Here is a 17,538-nt window from a genome sequence, read left to right on the forward strand (position 1 = left end):
CCTCTCTCCACCTCTCCCCTCCCCTCCCCTCCCCTCCTCTCTCCTCCCCTCCCCTCCCCGAGGCTTCACCGCCCCCTCCGGACCAGCCGCAGCCACAGCGCCCCGGGCGGACCGGGGGGGCCACTGCAGCGGGGTCCGCCCAGGGCCAAGCCCCAGGTCCGGAGCCCGGCCAGGGTCTCGCCAGGCGGGGGCCCCTGGGGGGCCTCTGGGAGGGGGAAGGGGCGTGCCCTTCATTGCGGGGGCGAGGGCGGACTGCCCCGGGAGACCGCGACCCAACGCTGCCCGCCCGAGCCGTGCCGCGGTCCCCTCCAGCCCAAAGCCTCCCCGCCCCCTCCGCGGCTAACTCGGCTCCGGGACAAAGGACTTTCTGTGTCGCCGCTTTATCTCCGTTCCCTGTGATAACTTGGTCTTTCTTGGAAGCCCAAGTCCCTTCCAGGCCAGGGGACTTTCCCGACTTGGAGGTTGGGTTTTCCCACCAAGCACGTCCACCTAGGTTCTCAGCTCTGGGACTGACCCTATAGCCCCGAGGGTCGCGGCCTGAATGGTCTATTAAGAACGGTTCCAGGGAGCTGGGTTTTGGCTGCGTGGCCTTTCAGAGCCTTGGTTTCCTCAAGATAATAATAATAGTACCTCTCGCCTCATCGCACAGAATTGTGCATAACGGAGAAAACTGTTTTGAAAGTAACCAAAGGCGTGCCTGACAAATATGAGGATGTAGTATAATTATTGAATCGTGGACTGCCAAGCGGACACGTTGATTCCTTTCTCCCCGAAGGGGTTAAATGTCCTTCCAGCGCTGCTGCTGTCCTTTCACTCCCGTTCTTTTCCGCCCCCCAACAACCGCGTGGTCGGCTTGGAAAGGCGAACTATAATTCCCAGGGTGCCTCGCGAGGCCACAAAGAACTACGATTCCCAGAGCCCCCCGCGGTGGGGCGGGGTTGAGTCGGAACCACAATAGCCAGGCGAAGAAACTACAACTCCCAGGGCGTCCCGGAGCAGGCCAACGGGACTACGGGAAGCAGCGGGCAGCGGCCCGCGGGAGGCACCTCGGAGATCTGGGTGCAAAAGCCCAGGGTTAGGAACCGTAGGCATGCTGCGCCCCAAGGCTTTGACCCAGGTGCTAAGCCAAGCCAACACTGGAGGCGTCCAGAGCACCCTGTGAGTGCAGACCACGGACCCGAGCGGCGAGCGCTGCAGTGGGGCGGCGCGCGGCTCCCTGAGGGAGGGGTGGGGAAGGATCACCAGGAAGGGAGGAAGCGGCAGAGGGGGCAGCGGCTGGGGATACCGGCCGGGAGGTCCCCTGTCGAAAAGGGAAGCCGGTGTGCTGGGTGCTTAGGGCATGTTCCGGGACACGCTCAGGCCAGAGCCTTGCTGGATGTGCCCTTGGTGGGACTTGGGATGGAAACCCAGACGTTTTACTCCCCGCTCTGAGCACATCGCTATCCCTCCCCGCCCCTCACCAGGCTGCTGAATAACGAGGGATCACTGCTGGCCTACTCTGGTTACGGGGACACTGACGCCCGGGTCACCGCTGCCATAGCCAGTAACATCTGGGCCGCCTACGACCGGAACGGGAACCAAGCGTTTAATGAAGACAATCTCAAATTCATCCTCATGGACTGCATGGTATGGAGAGGGGAGCCAGACTTCCCCTGTCCCCCAAAGGGGATCCCAAGGGGGCGACCTGGACCCCATCCTGGATGGTTGGAGGGGCAGGGACAGGATCTCCGGAAGATTACTAAGAGTTGGTCTGCAGCAGCATTTGTAATAGGCAGGACCCTATTCATCAAGTGGTGGTGAGGAAGGATCCCTGGACCTGAGAGGTCTGACTTGGGTTCTGGTCTCAGCCATCCACTTATCAGTTGTGGAACCTTGGGTAAGTCGCTTAACCTCTCTCAGCTTCCTTACCTCATGTTTAAGGAGAAGACAATAATTTCCCTCTCCCCGCTCCCCTCATGGGTTGTTGTGAAGGTCAGATGAAATAATGGGTATAAACAGTAGAATGACGTGCAAACACAAAGTGTTGTCATCCCAGTTTCACCGACTCACAGAACCATGGCAGTCTCCAGACCCTAGTCCAACCCCTTAAGCTTTCAAAGAAAGGAAAATGAAGTCCAGAAAGGGGAAGTCACCATTAGATTGTGAACTTCTTAGTATCTGTTCGGTCGACAAGTATTTAGGTCCTTGCAGTATTCTCAGGACTAGGGAAAAAATAGCAAACAGAAAGACAAAACCCCCAGCCCTAATAAATCTTACACAGTGATACAATCACGGCTCACTGCAGCCTCGACCTCCCTGGGCTCAGGTGATCCTCCTGCCCCAGCCTCCTGAGTAGCCGGGACTACAGACATGCACCACCACACCTCGCTAATTTTTGCATTTTTCCAGAGACTGGGTTTTGCCATGTTGCCCAGGCTGGTCTCAAACTCCTGGCTCAAGCGATCTACCCACGTTGGCCTCCCAAAGTGCTGGGATTACAGGCGTGAGTCACTGTGCCTGGCCACATTTTTTAAAATAAGTAAAATATATAGTATATATTAGGTATTGAAAATGCAATGGAGAGAAAGCAGGGAAGTGAAAGAGTATGAGTTTGTTGGGTGTATGTGTCAGGGACAGTCTCACTGAAAAGGTGACATTTGATCAATGATCTGAAGAAAGGTGGGGGACAAGCCATGTGGTTATCTGAGGGAAGAATATTTTGGACAGAACAGCAAGTACCAAGGCCCTGAGGCAGAATTATGCCTGCTCAAGGATCAACAGGGTTGGTTGGTATGGCTGGAGTTACGTGAGATGGAGGAGGGTAGTAGGAGATGAGGTCAGAGAGGCAGGGAGTGCAGTGCTTGGTTCCTGGCATACAATAAATACCTAGTAAAAGTTTGCTGAACTTACTTTTGTTTTTTTCAAATTGGCCAGAAGGTGAACTCTCCAGGAAGGATCTTCATTGTAACTCAACTGCCTACTCTCCCCTACCCCCTGCACAACCAATGCCATTTTTAGTTCAACATATGACTCCTACTGGATGCCTAGAGCTGGTGCTATAGGGCAATAGCTTTCAAACGTTTTGACCACAACCCAGCCATAAGAAATACATTTTAAGGGGCTGGGCATGGTGGCTCATGCCTGTAATCCCAGCACTTTGGGAGGCCGAGGCGGGCGGATCACAAAGTCAGGTGTTCAAGACCAGCCTGGCCAACATGGTGAAACCCCATCTCTACTAAAAATACAAAAATTAGCTGGGCATGGTGGTGCGTGCCTGTAATCCCAGCCACTCAGGAGGCTGAGGCAGGAGAATCACTTGAACCCAGGAGGCAGTGGTTGCAGTGAGCCGAGATCACGCCACTGCACTCCAGCCTGGGCAACAGAGCAAGACTCCATCTCAAAAAAAAAAAAAAAAAAAGAAATACATTTTAAGGCTGAGCACAGTGCCTCACTCCTGTAATCCCAACACTTTGGGAGGCTGAGGCTGGAGGATTATCTGAGGCCAGGAGTTCAAGACCAGCCTTGGTGACCTAATAAGACCCCATCTCTACAAAAAAAATTTTAATAAATAAATAAATAGGAAAAAATTTTTTAAGAAAGACATTTTAAGTCAGAGCTCAACACACACATAGACCCACTAAAACAAAAGTCATGAAACAATACTTTTCCTACTACATGTAATATACTTCATTTTTTCTTTTTTGGTTTTTAATGCTGATCAACCTTCTTAATTTATCTCCTAACTGTGGGGTCAAATCTGCAATTTGAAAAACATTACCATGGGAAAAGAGGAGAAATACCAGTTGGGTTACCACTCCCATGCCCCTCTCAGTGTCTGTGGGGTGAGCTCACAGTAATAACATCACTCATTTGGACAACTGTTGGCAGATATGAAATTTCATGGTATTAGCACCCTCACCAACTGGGATGAGGTAGGGATTACAGAAAGAAAAACTGAATTTCTGAGAGACTAAGTTTCCCAGAGTAACATGGTTAGTAGGTGGCTGTGCTGAGGCTGGAACCTGGGCTCAGAACCCCATGTTCAGGGCTGTGGCCAAAAGCTTTTCCGCTGAACTTCCTGCTGTGCCCAGGGCATGGGAGGAAGATATAGTCTCTCTGGGGCCAGAGAAGCCTTTGGGGAAGGAGGGTGCTAAGGGTGCCAAGCAGAACATCACATCCCATCATATCACCCCCACCAGGAGGGCCGTGTAGCCATCACCCGAGTGGCCAACCTTCTGCTGTGTATGTATGCCAAGGAGACCGTGGGCTTTGGAATGCTCAAGGCCAAGGTGTGTATGTGCCCATCCCTCCATAGCCCTGGGCCCAGCCTTCGTGCTTCTACACTGTGTTCACTCCCACCAGGACCCTGTTTCTAGAGTTCTCATGTCTACTCAGTCCATTTCTGGTGTGGGCCAGCTCCCAAGAGCAGGTGGGGGTTGGGGGCTGGTTGCTTCCTATGGCACTGGGAGCAGACCTGGATTTGGGGTCCCTAATGCCAGGCTGTGTGCGGGACTGATCTCTGTTCTCCCTCTGCAGGCCCAGGCTTTGGTGCAGTACCTGGAGGAGCCCCTCACCCAAGTGGCGGCATCTTAACGGCATTGGTGGAAGCTGGGGTCAGAAAAGAGAAATGACCATTTGGAGGGGCGGGGCCTCCTAGAAGAACCTTCTTAGACAATGGGGGGAGGATGGGACTTTGTTTTTTCCAAGAATAAACTTCAACTCCTGTCATGTGTCTTGGCTACTTTCTTGGATGGGAGGAATCAGAGAAGATAGGAAGAAGCAGGCATCGCTTCTAGGATTCCTCATGTTCTGCAAGGATGGACTTCTACCCACCCCTTCACCATGACCTTCTGCGAACAATGGTTCTTGGCAGTTACGCCAAATAGTCCTTGTCCTCACCAATGGCATGACCTCACCTAGACCCTGCTGCTCAGAACAGAGTCTTACCCACCTCATAGGCAAAACTGGGAGTGAGCTCAGAGGTGCAAGGGTCTGGTGGGGGTTGTGTTGCACAGAGAATATAAAGGCCCTGAGAGGTTAGTGTCTATCATTTCAGGTTTGGGGGCGTGCGTGCCTTTTATTTTTTTGAGAGGGTCTCCCTCTGTTGCCCAGGCTGTAATGCAGTGACACAATCTCAGCTCACTGCAGGCTCAAGTGATTCCACCTCAGCCTCCCGAGTTGCCTGGATTATAGGCACACACCATCATGCCTGGCTAATTTTTGGGTTTTTGTTTTTTGTGTTTTTTAGGGGTTTTTTTTGTTGTTTTTGTTGTTTTTGGTAGAGATGAGGTCTCAATATGTTGCTCAGGCTGTTCTCCAACTTCTGGGCTCAAGCCATCCTCCTGCCTCCCAAAGTGCTGGGATTACAGATATGAACCACTTCGACTGGCCAGTGAGTGCCTTTTCTATTCTTGGGGTTGGGAGGGTGCCCCTAACAGCCTAGAACAAGCTATCCCTTTCTTCTTCTTCCAGGTGTTTATGTGCTTACACAGACCCTCCCCAGATCTTGAAGCCCTTTGTAGACAAGAGGCCTTTGCTGTGAGGCCTCAGGTCCTGTACAGGGAGTAGAAGTAACCCAGACCTCCCAAAGGCCTTCATCTCCAGACCCTGCTCCTACACTCAGACCACTCACCCCAGCTGTCTGTTTCTGCCCCAGGTCTCTGCCTACCCAATATCCTTAAAGCAGGTCTGTATAGGGAGCTACCAGCCCCCTTCCCCAGTGCCATATAAAGGAACCCATCCCAGAGAAGTGGGTAGGTTTCGAGTCCCAGCTCCACCCAAGATGAGAAACACTGCCCATCCCAGGCCCTGGGCTGTCAAGGAAGGGCAGAAGTTACTGTGGCCATGATACTCCCACAGCTCTGCATTGCAGCAGGGTGACTGGTGTTCTATCAGCCCCTGGTCTAATATCCCTTACTCTGGTTCCCCCAGTGTACCCCCCTACCAGCTCTGAAGGAAAAGCAGGCCAAGTGGGTTTCTTCCTTTTTTTTTTTTTTTGAGATAGAATCTCTTGCTCTGTCACCCGGGCTGGAGTGCAATGGCACAATCTTGGCTCACTGCAATCTCCGCCTCCCGAGTTCAAGCAATTCTCCTGCCTCAGCCTCCTGAGTAGCTGGGATTACAGGCGCGTGACACCATGCCTAGCTAATTTTTGTATATTTTTAGTAGAGACAGGGTTTCACCATGTTGGTAAGGCTGGTCTTGAACTCCTGACCTCGTGATCCGCTGGCCTCGGCCTCCTAAAGTGCTGGGATTACAGGTGGGAGCCACCGCACCAGGCCTCTTTTTTTTTTTGAGACGGAGTCTTGCTCTGTCGCCCAGGCTGGAGTGCAGTGGCGCGATCTCGGCTCACTGCAAGCTCTGCCTCCTGGGTTCACGCCATTCTCCTGCCTCAGTCTCCCGAGTAGCTGGGACTACAGGCACCTGCCACTACGCCTGGCTAATTTTTTGTATTTTTAGTAGAGACACAGTTTCACCGTTTCTACCATAGAGCCAGAGAGGGCCCCCTCCTGTTTTTTTATCTCTTACCAAGACCTCCTGGGGCTCCTCATTCCTTCAGGATGGTCTCGATCTCCTGACCTTGTGATCCGCCCGCCTCGGCCTCCCAAAGTGCTGGAATTACAGGTATGAGCCACCGCACCCGGCCTTTTTTTTTTTTTTTTGAGAAGCAGTCTCTGTTGCCCAGACTGGAGTGCAGTGGCACGATCTCAGCCCACTGGAACCTCTGCCTCCCGGCTTCAAGCAATTCTCCTACCTTGGCCGCCCAAGTAGCTGGGATTGCAGGCGCCCACCACCATGCCCAGCTAATTTTTTTTTTTTTTTTTTTTAGACGGAGTTTCGCTCTTGTTACCCAGGCTGGAGTGCAAGGGCGCGATCTCGACTCACCACAACCTCCGCCTCCTGGGTTCAAGCGATTCTCCTGTCTCAGCCTCCCAAGTAGCTGGGTTTACAGCCATGTGCCACCACGCCCAGCTAATTTTGTATTTTTTTAGTAGAAACGGGGTTTCTCCATGTTGGTCAGGCTGGTCTCAAACTCCCGACCTCAGGTGATCCGCCCACCTCAGCCTCCCAAAGTGCTGGGATTACAGGCGTGAGCCACCGCGCCTGGCCTCAAGTGGGTTTCTGAGGGGCTATTTCTTGCTCATTAGTTGGGGGACCGGCCCTCACCACAGATTCCAGAAGCCCAGCAATGCACACTCAGCCCTCAGTGGGCTGTCTCTGAAGGTCCTGTCCCTTTTTCGCTTCCCCCCCGCTGGAGCTGCTTCTCCCGCTTGCGGGAGCCCAGGCTGAGAGCAGACACCCAACCTGTCGAACCTGTCTGACGTCATCATCTCTCCACCCACCTGGGCCCCAGGTCTCCAGCCACCCCGCTCTTCCTGTTCTCAGCTTCCGTCCTCTCTGCTTCCTTACAGCACCCCCACCTGCCAGAGCTGATCCTCCCTAGGCCCTGCCTAACCTTGAGTTGGCCCCCAATCCCTCTGGCTGCAGAAGTCCCCTTACCCCCAATGAGAGGAGGGGCAGGACCAGATCTTTTGAGAGCTGAGGGTTGAGGGCATTGAGCCAACACACAGATTTGTCGCCTCTGTCCCCGAAGACACCTGCACCCTCCATGCGGAGCCAAGATGGGGAATGGAACTGAGGAAGATTATAACTTTGTCTTCAAGGGTGAGTTGGGTTCCCTGAAGCAAGAGGAAGCCTGAGAGACCCAGAAAGAGATTGAATAGAGCCAGAGAGGGCCCCCTCCTGTTTTTTTATCTCTTACCAAGACCTCCTGGGGCTCCTCATTCCTTCAGAAAGAAAGCTGCAGGGAGTGGGGGAGGGTCTGGTTGCAGGGGCAAAAGTCAGGGAGCTTCTGAGTATGCTCTACTGTGGTAAATAATGATGTTGATTCCTCCTTAAGAGTGCTGAGTTAGGCTCCTCTGCCCCGTTCCTAATAGAAACCCAAATCCCTGGTGTCAGCCAGTGCAGCACAAGAGATGGAGGTCAGACTTCAGAAAGGACTTCCCTCTTTTATTTTTTTTTCTGAGACGGAGTCTTGCTCTGTCGCCCAGGCTGGAGTGCAGTGGTACAATCTCAGCTCACTGCAACCTCCACCTCCTGGGTTCAAGCGATTCTTCTGCCTCGGCCTCCCAAGTAGCTGGGACTACAAGCACCTGCCACCACGCCCGGCTTATTTTTGTATTTTTAATAGAGACGGGGTTTCACCATATTGGCCAGGATGGTCTGGAACTGACCTCATGATCCGCCTACCTCGGCCTCCCAAAGTGCTGGGATTACAGGCATGAGCCACCACACCCGGCCAGGACTTCTCTCTTGAGAAGAAAGGGAAACCAGCAAACAAGAGGAAGAAAGTCATCTTTTCTGGGCAGGTGTACAGGGAACGAGAGAAAGGAGAGACACATCCCATTATAGGGTGGGGCAATAAATACATAGGGAAGACAGAAAATATCATGAATTTGCTGCAGAGTCTGATAGAATCCAGAGGACTCCTAGGGTTGTAGCCTCGTCTGCCTGGCCCTTGGCTGACTCACTGGACCTGCATACCAGGCACTGGGCTCAACTTTGCTGTCCCTGGAAGCATGCATGTATCTTTCTAGCCCCTGTGTTTGGTGCCTTTGCTGTTTTCCAACCCCACCTTCATACTTCCTTTAGGGCAGGGTGGACTCTCCAGCCACCCTACCCCAATGCCTCTCCCAACCTCAGCCCGGCCCCTCCCTTGAGCTGGGACTCTCACTCCAGAACCCGCCCTTGAGCTGGGGAACCTGTACTACTGGCATCTTTTCCAGGAAGGAAAGGGTTAGCAATAGTCTGGGGCAATAATATGAGGAACTACCATTTATTGAGCACTTACTATGTACCTGCCACTACCTCATTAATACCATAACAATCCCCGAAAGTCATATTTTATTTTGAGGGGCAGTGTAACATTGTGGTCAGGAGCCAGACTGGGTTCAGATCTCAGCCCTGCCACTTACAAGTATTGCGGGTTGGTCAGCCGGGTGCAGTGGCTCACGCCTGTAATCCTAGCACTTTGGGAGGCCGAGGCGGCGGGATCACTTAAGGTCTGGAGTTCCAGACCAGCCTGGCCAACATGGGGAAACCCTGTCTCTACTAAAAATTCAAAAATTATCTGGGTGTGGTGGCACGTGCCTGTAATCCCAGCTACTCGGGAGGCTGAGACAGGAGAATCACTTGAACCCAGGAAGCAGAGGTTGCAGTAAGCCGAGACTGTGCCACTGCACTCCAGCCTGGGCAACAGAGCAAGACTCTGTCTAAAAAAAAAAAAAAAAAAAAAAAAGTATTGAGGGTTGGGTTGGGGTCCCTAGAAGCAGACGCTGAGAAGAAGTTGGGGTGTTCAATGTTTGTTTGTTTTTTGAGACGGAGTCTCGCTCTGTTGCCCAGGCTGGAGTGCAGTGGAGCGATCTTGGCTCACTGCAATCTCCGCCTTCCTACAACCTCCGCCTCCTGGGTTCAAGCGATTCTCCTGCCTCAGCCTCCTGAGTAGCTGGGACTACAGGTGTGCACCACCACACCCAGCTAATTTTTGTATTTTTAGTAGAGACAGGGTTTCATCATGTTGGCTAGGATGGTCTCGATCTCTTGACCTTGTGATCCGCCCTCCTAGGCCTCCCAAAGTGCTGGTATTACAGGCGTGAGCCACCGCGCCCAGCTCAATGTTTTTTTACAAATCAGCACCTGTGAAAGGAAGGGAGAGGAAACATAATTGGGCAGAGGGAGAAGTCAAACAGCAACACAGGCTGGACAAACCTGGGTCAAGGGCGGGGAGCTCTGTGATTGCCTCACCTTGCTTGAGCACTGGGTGTAGGCTGCCCAGAAAAGGCATGACTTCCAGTGAGGCCGCTGTCTGCACCAGAGGCAGACGCTGAAGGAGCTGACAGCTGGAGCCTGTCTGCAGCCTGCACTCCCTGCAGCTTGGGGCAAGTCCTTCCTTGAAGGCTGATCTGGCCAGCACATCTCTGTGTTTACAACACTAGCCCTGTTATCTTGGGCAAGTCATTTGACCTCCAAAGCGCCTTGTCTGTAAAAACAGGTAAAATAGTAATGGGATTCATGGCATTCTTATGAGGATTAAATGAGGTAATATGTGTAAAGCTTTTAACGACACTGCCTGGCACATAGTAAGCATTCAGTACACTGTAAACATGAACCATTAGTATCTCCACTTTACAACTGAGGCTTAGAGGCAAAGTAGTTTACAAAAGGCCACAAAGTCTGACTTCAATTCCCTTGCCCTAAGCACCTTTGTGGTATGACGCTAGGGCTGAGAGCCCACCCACTGAGAGGGATGAGGGAGATGTGCCCAGTAGGGGAGAGGCAGGAACACACACACACATATACACACACACACACGCATACACACACATCCTCTTACCCACACATATCCATATTATTTCCAGCTTTTCCATACTGTCCTATGCAAATAAGGAATGTTTAAATATATATTTTTTATTTTTATTTTTTGAGACACAATTTCACTGTCACCCAGGCTGGAGTGCAGTGATGCCATCACAGTTCATTGCAGCCACAACCTACGGGGCTCAAACAATCCTTCCACCTCAGCCTCTTGAGTAGCTGGGACTACATGCATGTGCCACCACACTTGGCTAATTTTTTTTTCTTTTTCTTTTTTTTTTTTTGAGTCGGAGTTTCACTCTGTCACCCAGGCTGGAGTGCAGTAACACAAACTCGGCTCACTGCAGCACCCCCAGGGCTCAAGCAATCCTCCCACCTCAGCCTCCCAAGTAGCTGAGACTACAGACACATGCTACCATGCCTGGCTAATTTTTGCATTTTTTGTAGAGATGGGGTTTCACCGTGTTACCCAGGGTGGTCTCAAACTTGTGGGCTCAAGAGATACTCCCGCCTTGGCCTCCCAAAGTTCTGGGATTACAGGCGTGAACCTCCACACCCAGCCAAGGAACTTTTAAAGTTGGAGGAGGCCTTTATAAGTTGTATAAGCAAGGCAACTGAGACTGAGAAAAGGTGAGTCACTTGTTCAAGTTCACACAGTTAGTTAGAAGCTGAGCAGGGACCAGAGCCCACAATATGTGGCTCCCAGTCCTTGGGTGCCAGCCTGCCTTTCCAGAACCACTCTGGGTGGCCTCCTCTAATTCTGTGTGCTTAGTTCAGTGCCAGTGCAATTTGTGGGCTCTACTCACATCAGCCCCCTACACTCTACCCCAGCCCCCAGCTCATCCACATGGGTAAGACTGGGCCCTGGATGCTGCCCACCAGTCTAAAGGGTCTTCATGGCCCCTCAGGTGGATCCTTGTCTCTGAAAACCCAAAGGCAAAAACTCTGGCCTGCTAACAACAATCATACCAGTCATGATTTTTACACTTACTATATCCTGGGCAATGTCTCACTTACTTCCTACAATAACCCTTAAGGTAGATACTAATGTCTTCCCCATTTTTCATATGAAAAGAACAGCTCAGATTGGTTAAATAACTTGCCGAAGGACACATAGCTGGTCTAACACCCAGGCCCATGCTCTTAACCATGCGGGACTGTCCCTCCTTAGGGACAACTGGAACCTAACTTCTTACACACACATGAGCACACATGCCTTCCTCTCACCCACAGATGTGTCAACTGCCAAACTTTCTCCTTACCCACACTTTGATTCACACCTCTGTTCCTTATGCAAACACACACACACCAAACCTCCCACTTGTCCTCCCAGCTCATATATATAGAGACAAGTGCAATGTTCTCATACTCCAAGTCCTAGTCCAGAACTGTGCACCCCCTGACCTCCCACCATCCCTGTCCATATTCACACACAACAGTAATGTCTCCGCATGACACTCATAAAGAGCCCACAGATGTCACTCCCTCACCAGAGATGCAGGCTGACTCTGCAACCATGTATCAACAGACCAGGCTATAACCCGTCAAGCCCCTTTGTTTGTTTTAAACTCTTGGCTTTCCTGCCCACCAGGACAGATGCATTATGCAGAGTTGCAGACTCCAGTCTCACAGGAGACTCCGTTCCCTAATCTTTTTTCTGAGCTCAGTTCCCTTTTTCTGCTGGGCAGACCCTCCAAGCTCAGGTGGGGTTGGAGCTGCTCTACCCCATGCTCAGCCCTTATCTCTCCACTCCTTCAGTGGTGCTGATCGGCGAATCAGGTGTGGGGAAGACCAATCTACTCTCCCGATTCACGCGCAATGAGTTCAGCCACGACAGCCGCACCACCATCGGGGTTGAGTTCTCCACCCGCACTGTGATGTTGGGCACCGCTGCTGTCAAGGCTCAGATCTGGGACACAGCTGGCCTGGAGCGGTACCGAGCCATCACCTCGGCGTGAGCCCGGGCCTGGGGGGCTGCTGGGTGGTGGGAGTTCTGGGGAAGTCGAGGAACACTTCTGGAGGAGAAGTGGGGGAGGAGGAGGCAAGGGGGCTCAGCAGTGGGCTCTGGGGGGTGGGGATGGAGATCACAGAAGATAAAAGGTACTGTAAACAGAAACAGCACAAGCCAGGATATAGTAACACTGACTAGTACTACTAAAAGCAGGAATCATTGCCACTTACTAAGCCTTTGCTATGTGCCCAGGAAGGGACAAGTTACTTTACATTTGGCATTTTATGTAACCCTTAAAGTACCACAGGAGTAAAGTGCTATAATTAGTTAATTTCTGTATAAATACAAACAAGGTGAAATCAGGGTGGAGCTAGGATGGGGGCGAGCTGCACGGATCGAGAGCGCCCCCTCACTTCCGCACAATGCTCTGCACTTGGCAACTTTCATCTAACCACAGAGGACCAAAAGCTGAACCCAGCATCTGCATTTTATGAAGACTCAGAGGACACACAGGAGGTTAGGCCTCCTGACACCACATCCGAAGTGTCTCTTAGGCCGGGTGTGTTGGCTCACACCTGTAATCCCAGCACTTTGGGAGGCCAAGGTGGGTGGATCGCTTGAGCTCATGAATTCGAGACCAGCCTGGGCAACATGGCAAAATCCTGTCTCTACCAAAAATATAAAAAATTGGCCGGGCTTGGTGGTGCGTACCTGTAGTCCCAGATACTTGAGAAGCTAAGGTGGGAGGATGGCTTGAACCCGGGAGGCGGAAGTTGCAGTGAGCCGAAATCGCCCCACTGCACTCCAGCCTGGGTGACAAAGCGATACTGTGTCTCAAGAAAAAAGTGTCAGCTGGGCGCGGTAGCTCACACCTGTAATCCCAGCACTTTGGGAGGCCGAGGCGGGCAGATCACAAGGTCAGGAGTTCGAGACCAGCCTGGCCAACAGTGAAACCCCCGTCTCTACTAAAAATACAAAAATTAGCCAGGCATGGTGGTGGGTGCCTGTAATCCCAACTACTCGGGAGGCTGAGACAGGAGAATCACTCGAACCTGGGAGGTGGAGGTTGCAGTGAGCCAAGATCATGCCACTGCACTCCAGCCTAGCGACAGAGCAAGACTCTGTCTCAAAAAAAAAAAAAAAAGAAAAAGAAAGTGTCTTCCAGTCAGTGTGAGGCCTAAGCATGTGAAATGGGGTCTGTTTGTGTGTATATGGGGTGGATAGCACTTGCCAGGGGGCAGGAAGCAAGAGTCAGGGGCTTTGGTTACACATGCTCCTCGTTACCTGATCTCTTATGAGCCTCAGTTGACTCATCAATGAATTGGGAGTTAGACATCACTAGTCTGAAGACATCCCATCCAACTCCAAGAGGGAGACTGGATGCTTTCAGTGATGCCTTGAATGGTCAGGCCAGGGACTGCTGCAAGAGGTAGGCATTCAGCTAATCCTAGAAAGAAGGCCACGGGAGAGAACAGGCCACTGTTAAGGAGCCATGTGAGGAAGATCTTGAAGGTGGCAGAGTTGGCTAAAGCCCAGATGTGCACTGGTGGAGAGTAGGGGCTAAAATCAGGACGAGAACCTGAGAAAGTAGAGGGGCTGGCTGTGAGGAAGCCAATAGAGATTTTAGAGCAGGGAGGTGAAACTTTATTTATTTAGTTAGTTAGTTGAGACAAATTTTCACTCTTGTTGCCGAGGCTGGAGTGCAATGGAGCGATCTCAGATCACTGCAACTTCCGCTTCCCGAGTTCAAGCAATTCTCCTGCCTCAGCCTTCCGAGTAGCTGGGATTACAAGCATGCGCCATCATGCCCGGCTAATTTTTGTATTTTTAGTAGAGATGGGGTTTCTCCATATTGGTTAGGCTAGTCTTGAACTCCTCACCTCAGGTGATCCACCCGCCTTGGCCTCCCAAAGTGCTGGGATTACAGGCGTGAGCCACCGCGCCTGGCCGAGGGAGGTGAAACTTTACAGGCTCCAAGACTAGTGTCCCTGGAAGGCAGAGGAGCCTTGGGCTGCTCTGTTGGGTTCTGGGCCCCTGGCCGCAAGTTTCTGTATTTCCTGATCTCTAGTACTCTGATCCCGGGTGTTCCAGCTTGACGGCTCTGCTCTGATGCTGGGTCCAATGCCTCTGATCGTATCTCTGTCCATCCTTCTCATTCCCACCCAGGTACTATCGTGGTGCAGTGGGGGCCCTCCTGGTGTTTGACCTAACCAAGCACCAGACCTATGCTGTGGTGGAGCGATGGCTGAAGGAGCTCTATGACCATGCTGAAGCCACGATCGTCGTCATGCTCGTGGGTAACAAAAGTGACCTCAGCCAGGCCCGGGAAGTGCCCACTGAGGAGGCCCGAATGTTCGCTGGTGAGAGCCTGCCACTACCCAGGCTGACTCCTCCAAGCTTAGCCCACCTTTCCCTTGCAGTCTCCCAGCCCCTGCCCCCACCCATAGAGCCCCTAGCCTGGCCTTCCTCCATACAGTCCTCTACCCCATCCCCTCTTCCTCAGGATTTCCCAGCACTTCCCCTTTGGGACCCTGTGTCTCCCATGATGTCCCACCACTTGCCCTGAGATTGTCTTTATTGATTTTTTTTTTTTTTTTTTTTTTGAGACCGGGTCTCAATCTGTTGCCTAGGCTAGAGTGCAGTGGTGCGATCTCGGCTCGCTGCAACTTCCACCTCTTGGGTTCAAGCAATTCTCATGCCTCAGCCTCCTGAGTAGCTAAGACTACAGGTGTGCGCCACCATGCCTGGCTAATTTTTGTATTTTTAGTAGAGATGGGGTTTCATCGTGTTGACCAGGCTGGTCTCGAACCCCTGACCTCAGGTGATCCAGCTGCCTCGGCCTCCCAAAGTTCTGGGATTATAGGTGTGAGCCACTGTGCCCGGCCCGTAGTTAATTTTAAGGCAGCCCCACCCTGTAATGCTCAAAGATCCTATGGAGAGGATAGGCTTCCCAGGAGTTTTCTGAGTTTAGAGGCAGCACAATATGGTGGTTAAGGGTGTTCTGGAGTCCCATGGCCCAGTCTCCCATCTGCTCTTGGCCAGTTACTAAATGTGGGACATGGAGCAATTTCCTTATTCTTTTTCTTTTTCTTTTTTTGAGAGGAGTCTCGCTCCGTCACCCAGGCTGGGGTGCAGTGGCACGATCTTGGCTCACTGCAACCTCCACCTCCTGGGTTCAAGCAATTCTCTGCCTCAGCCTCCCGAGTAGCTGGGATTACAGGTGCCCGCCACCATGCCTGGCTAATTTTTGTATTTTTAGTGGAGACGGGGTTTCACCATGTTGGCCAAGCCGGTCTTGAACTCCTGACCTCGTGATCCACCCACCTCAGCCTCCCAAAGTGCTGGGATTACAGGCGTGAGCCACCGCACCCAGCCCCTTATTTGTTTTCTTTGTGTTTCTGGATTCAGTTTTCTAAATGAACCTACCTTGTAAGTTGTTTTAAGGATTAAATGATCTGCTACATGCCAAGAGTTTAGCACATGGCAAATGTATATAGCAAACATTAATATTATTATTATTATTGCCTTTGACTCCCACAATTAATGGTGTGTTTCCCTTCCTGGCAGAAAACAATGGACTGCTCTTCCTGGAGACCTCAGCCCTGGACTCTACCAATGTTGAGCTAGCCTTTGAGACTGTCCTGAAAGGTTAGAGCCTACCTTTATTCTGCACCCCTATTCCATCCCCGTGGCTTCTACAGGCAGCAGTAGGAATGCAGACACTCAGCCCTCACCCCAGCTAATTTCTCAGCTCCTCTGTGGGTCCTGGCACCACTGCCTGTCCCCCTCAGTCCCTCCCCAGTGCCTCCCACTCAGTCTGGAGCTCAGGGAGGGAACAGGCCACACTCCCCATGGGGCTGACTCTTGGTTCCTTCTCCACCCAAGTAAGTAGAAGGGACCCCTATGTCCACACTTCATTTCCTTCCTGCAAAACCTCCTGCAAGTGTGGCCACCCCCCATGCTCAGAAGGGGCATGCAGTATGTATGGGGGGGTTGGGGAGAAGGGAGCATGGGCTCTAAATCTTCTGGCCTGATCACTGCCCTCTGCCCTCCCAGAAATCTTTGCGAAGGTGTCCAAGCAGAGACAGAACAGCATCCGGACCAATGCCATCACTCTGGGCAGTGCCCAGGCTGGACAGGAGCCTGGCCCTGGGGAGAAGAGGGCCTGTTGCATCAGCCTCTGACCTTGGCCAGCACCACCTGCCCCCACTGGCTTTTTGGTGCCCCTTGTCCCCACTTCAGCCCCAGGACCTTTCCTTGCCCTTTGGTTCCAGATATCAGACTGTTCCCTGTTCACAGCACCCTCAGGGTCTTAAGGTCTTCATGCCCTATCACAAATACCTCTTTTATCTGTCCACCCCTCACAGACTAGGACCCTCAAATAAAGCTGTTTTATATCAATGCCTGGTCATTCCACTGCCTCCCGTCTGTTCCTCCCTCTTCTCCTTGTCTGTGCCTCCCCTTCAACTTTGGCCCCTCCTCTGAGTCCCTAATCCCCTTCCTCTGTCCTCCCCACCATACCTACTGCCCCTCAGGGCCAGCTGCCTCTGGAGTTCTGTGGTCTGGGGACAGTGCCAAGGGGATAGGAGGTGCCTGCCCTTCCCTCTGCCAACCCCCAGGGCAGGTGGGGGAGGGAGGAGAGCATGGAGGGGAGGGGGTATATCTGGAAGGCGAGACAAAGGAAACCATCGGCGGGCACCATCTGGTGCTGAGGGCCCTGGTGCCAACAACTGAGGTCACTCCAATGCCAGGGGCAAGGGGAGGAGGCAGCGGGAGATACAAGGGGAGAAGAGGGAGTGGGGGCCAGTCCTGTAGGTGTGTACTGGGGAAGGGGTTTTTAAGCCTGAGAGGTGCAAGGTCCAAGTCCTCCATCCAGTCTTTTTTTTTTTTGAGATGGAGTCTCACTCTGTTGCCCAGGCTGGGGTACAGTGGTGTGATCTCGGCTCACTGAAACCTCCACCTCTCGGGTTCAAGCAATTCTCCCTGCCTCAGCCTCAGCTGGGATTACAGGTGCCCGCCACCACACTTGGCTAATTTTTGTATTTTTAGTAGAGACGGGGTTTTGCCATGTTGGCCAGGCTGCTCTCAAACTCCTGATCTCAGGTGATCCGCCTGCCTCAGCCTCCTAAAGTGCTAGGATTACAAACTTGAGCCCTTCCAGTCTTCTTCCTGATCCCAAAGAAGAAGGATGGATTGAATCTGGTGGGGTAAATGGGGAGGGTCCCTGTCTCTTA

The 17,538-nt window shown here is 52.3% G+C and overlaps 2 protein-coding genes across 4 annotated transcripts, besides 3 other annotated features; both read left to right on the top strand.

Annotated features, from left to right (window-relative positions):
• Window positions 2-391: a silencer, noted in NCBI's record as "silent region_1417". NCBI's record gives its function as "represses an Ori minimal core promoter by ATAC-STARR-seq in GM12878 lymphoblastoid cells {active_cell/tissue: GM12878}" and the evidence as "EXISTENCE:reporter gene assay evidence [ECO:0000049][PMID:35858748]".
• Window positions 732-1,051: an enhancer, noted in NCBI's record as "active region_1835". NCBI's record gives its function as "activates an Ori minimal core promoter by ATAC-STARR-seq in GM12878 lymphoblastoid cells {active_cell/tissue: GM12878}" and the evidence as "EXISTENCE:reporter gene assay evidence [ECO:0000049][PMID:35858748]".
• On the top strand, window positions 983-4,707 carry LAMTOR2 (late endosomal/lysosomal adaptor, MAPK and MTOR activator 2). Of its 2 annotated transcripts, NM_014017.4 has the most exons (4): window positions 983-1,158; window positions 1,464-1,626; window positions 4,179-4,268; window positions 4,516-4,707. In NM_014017.4, the coding sequence occupies exons 1-4, from the start codon at window positions 1,091-1,093 to the stop codon at window positions 4,570-4,572; spliced, it is 378 nt and encodes a 125-aa protein (NP_054736.1). In that variant the 5' UTR covers window positions 983-1,090; the 3' UTR covers window positions 4,573-4,707. The 2 variants fall into 2 exon arrangements, with proteins under 2 accessions (NP_054736.1, NP_001138736.1); NM_001145264.2 differs by lacking the exon at window positions 4,179-4,268.
• Window positions 1,552-1,611: an enhancer, noted in NCBI's record as "active region_1836". NCBI's record gives its function as "activates an Ori minimal core promoter by ATAC-STARR-seq in GM12878 lymphoblastoid cells {active_cell/tissue: GM12878}" and the evidence as "EXISTENCE:reporter gene assay evidence [ECO:0000049][PMID:35858748]".
• On the top strand, window positions 7,361-16,705 carry RAB25 (RAB25, member RAS oncogene family). Of its 2 annotated transcripts, NM_020387.4 has the most exons (5): window positions 7,361-7,644; window positions 12,112-12,307; window positions 14,471-14,664; window positions 15,872-15,952; window positions 16,361-16,705. In NM_020387.4, the coding sequence occupies exons 1-5, from the start codon at window positions 7,602-7,604 to the stop codon at window positions 16,486-16,488; spliced, it is 642 nt and encodes a 213-aa protein (NP_065120.2). In that variant the 5' UTR covers window positions 7,361-7,601; the 3' UTR covers window positions 16,489-16,705. The 2 variants fall into 2 exon arrangements, 1 of the variants encoding a protein (NP_065120.2); NR_133653.2 differs by lacking the exon at window positions 12,112-12,307.
• The last annotated feature ends 833 nt before the right edge of the window (window positions 16,706-17,538 follow it).

This window comes from Homo sapiens, chromosome 1 (genome assembly GCF_000001405.40).
Source record: "Homo sapiens chromosome 1, GRCh38.p14 Primary Assembly".
Taxonomy (NCBI): Eukaryota; Metazoa; Chordata; class Mammalia; order Primates; family Hominidae; genus Homo; species Homo sapiens.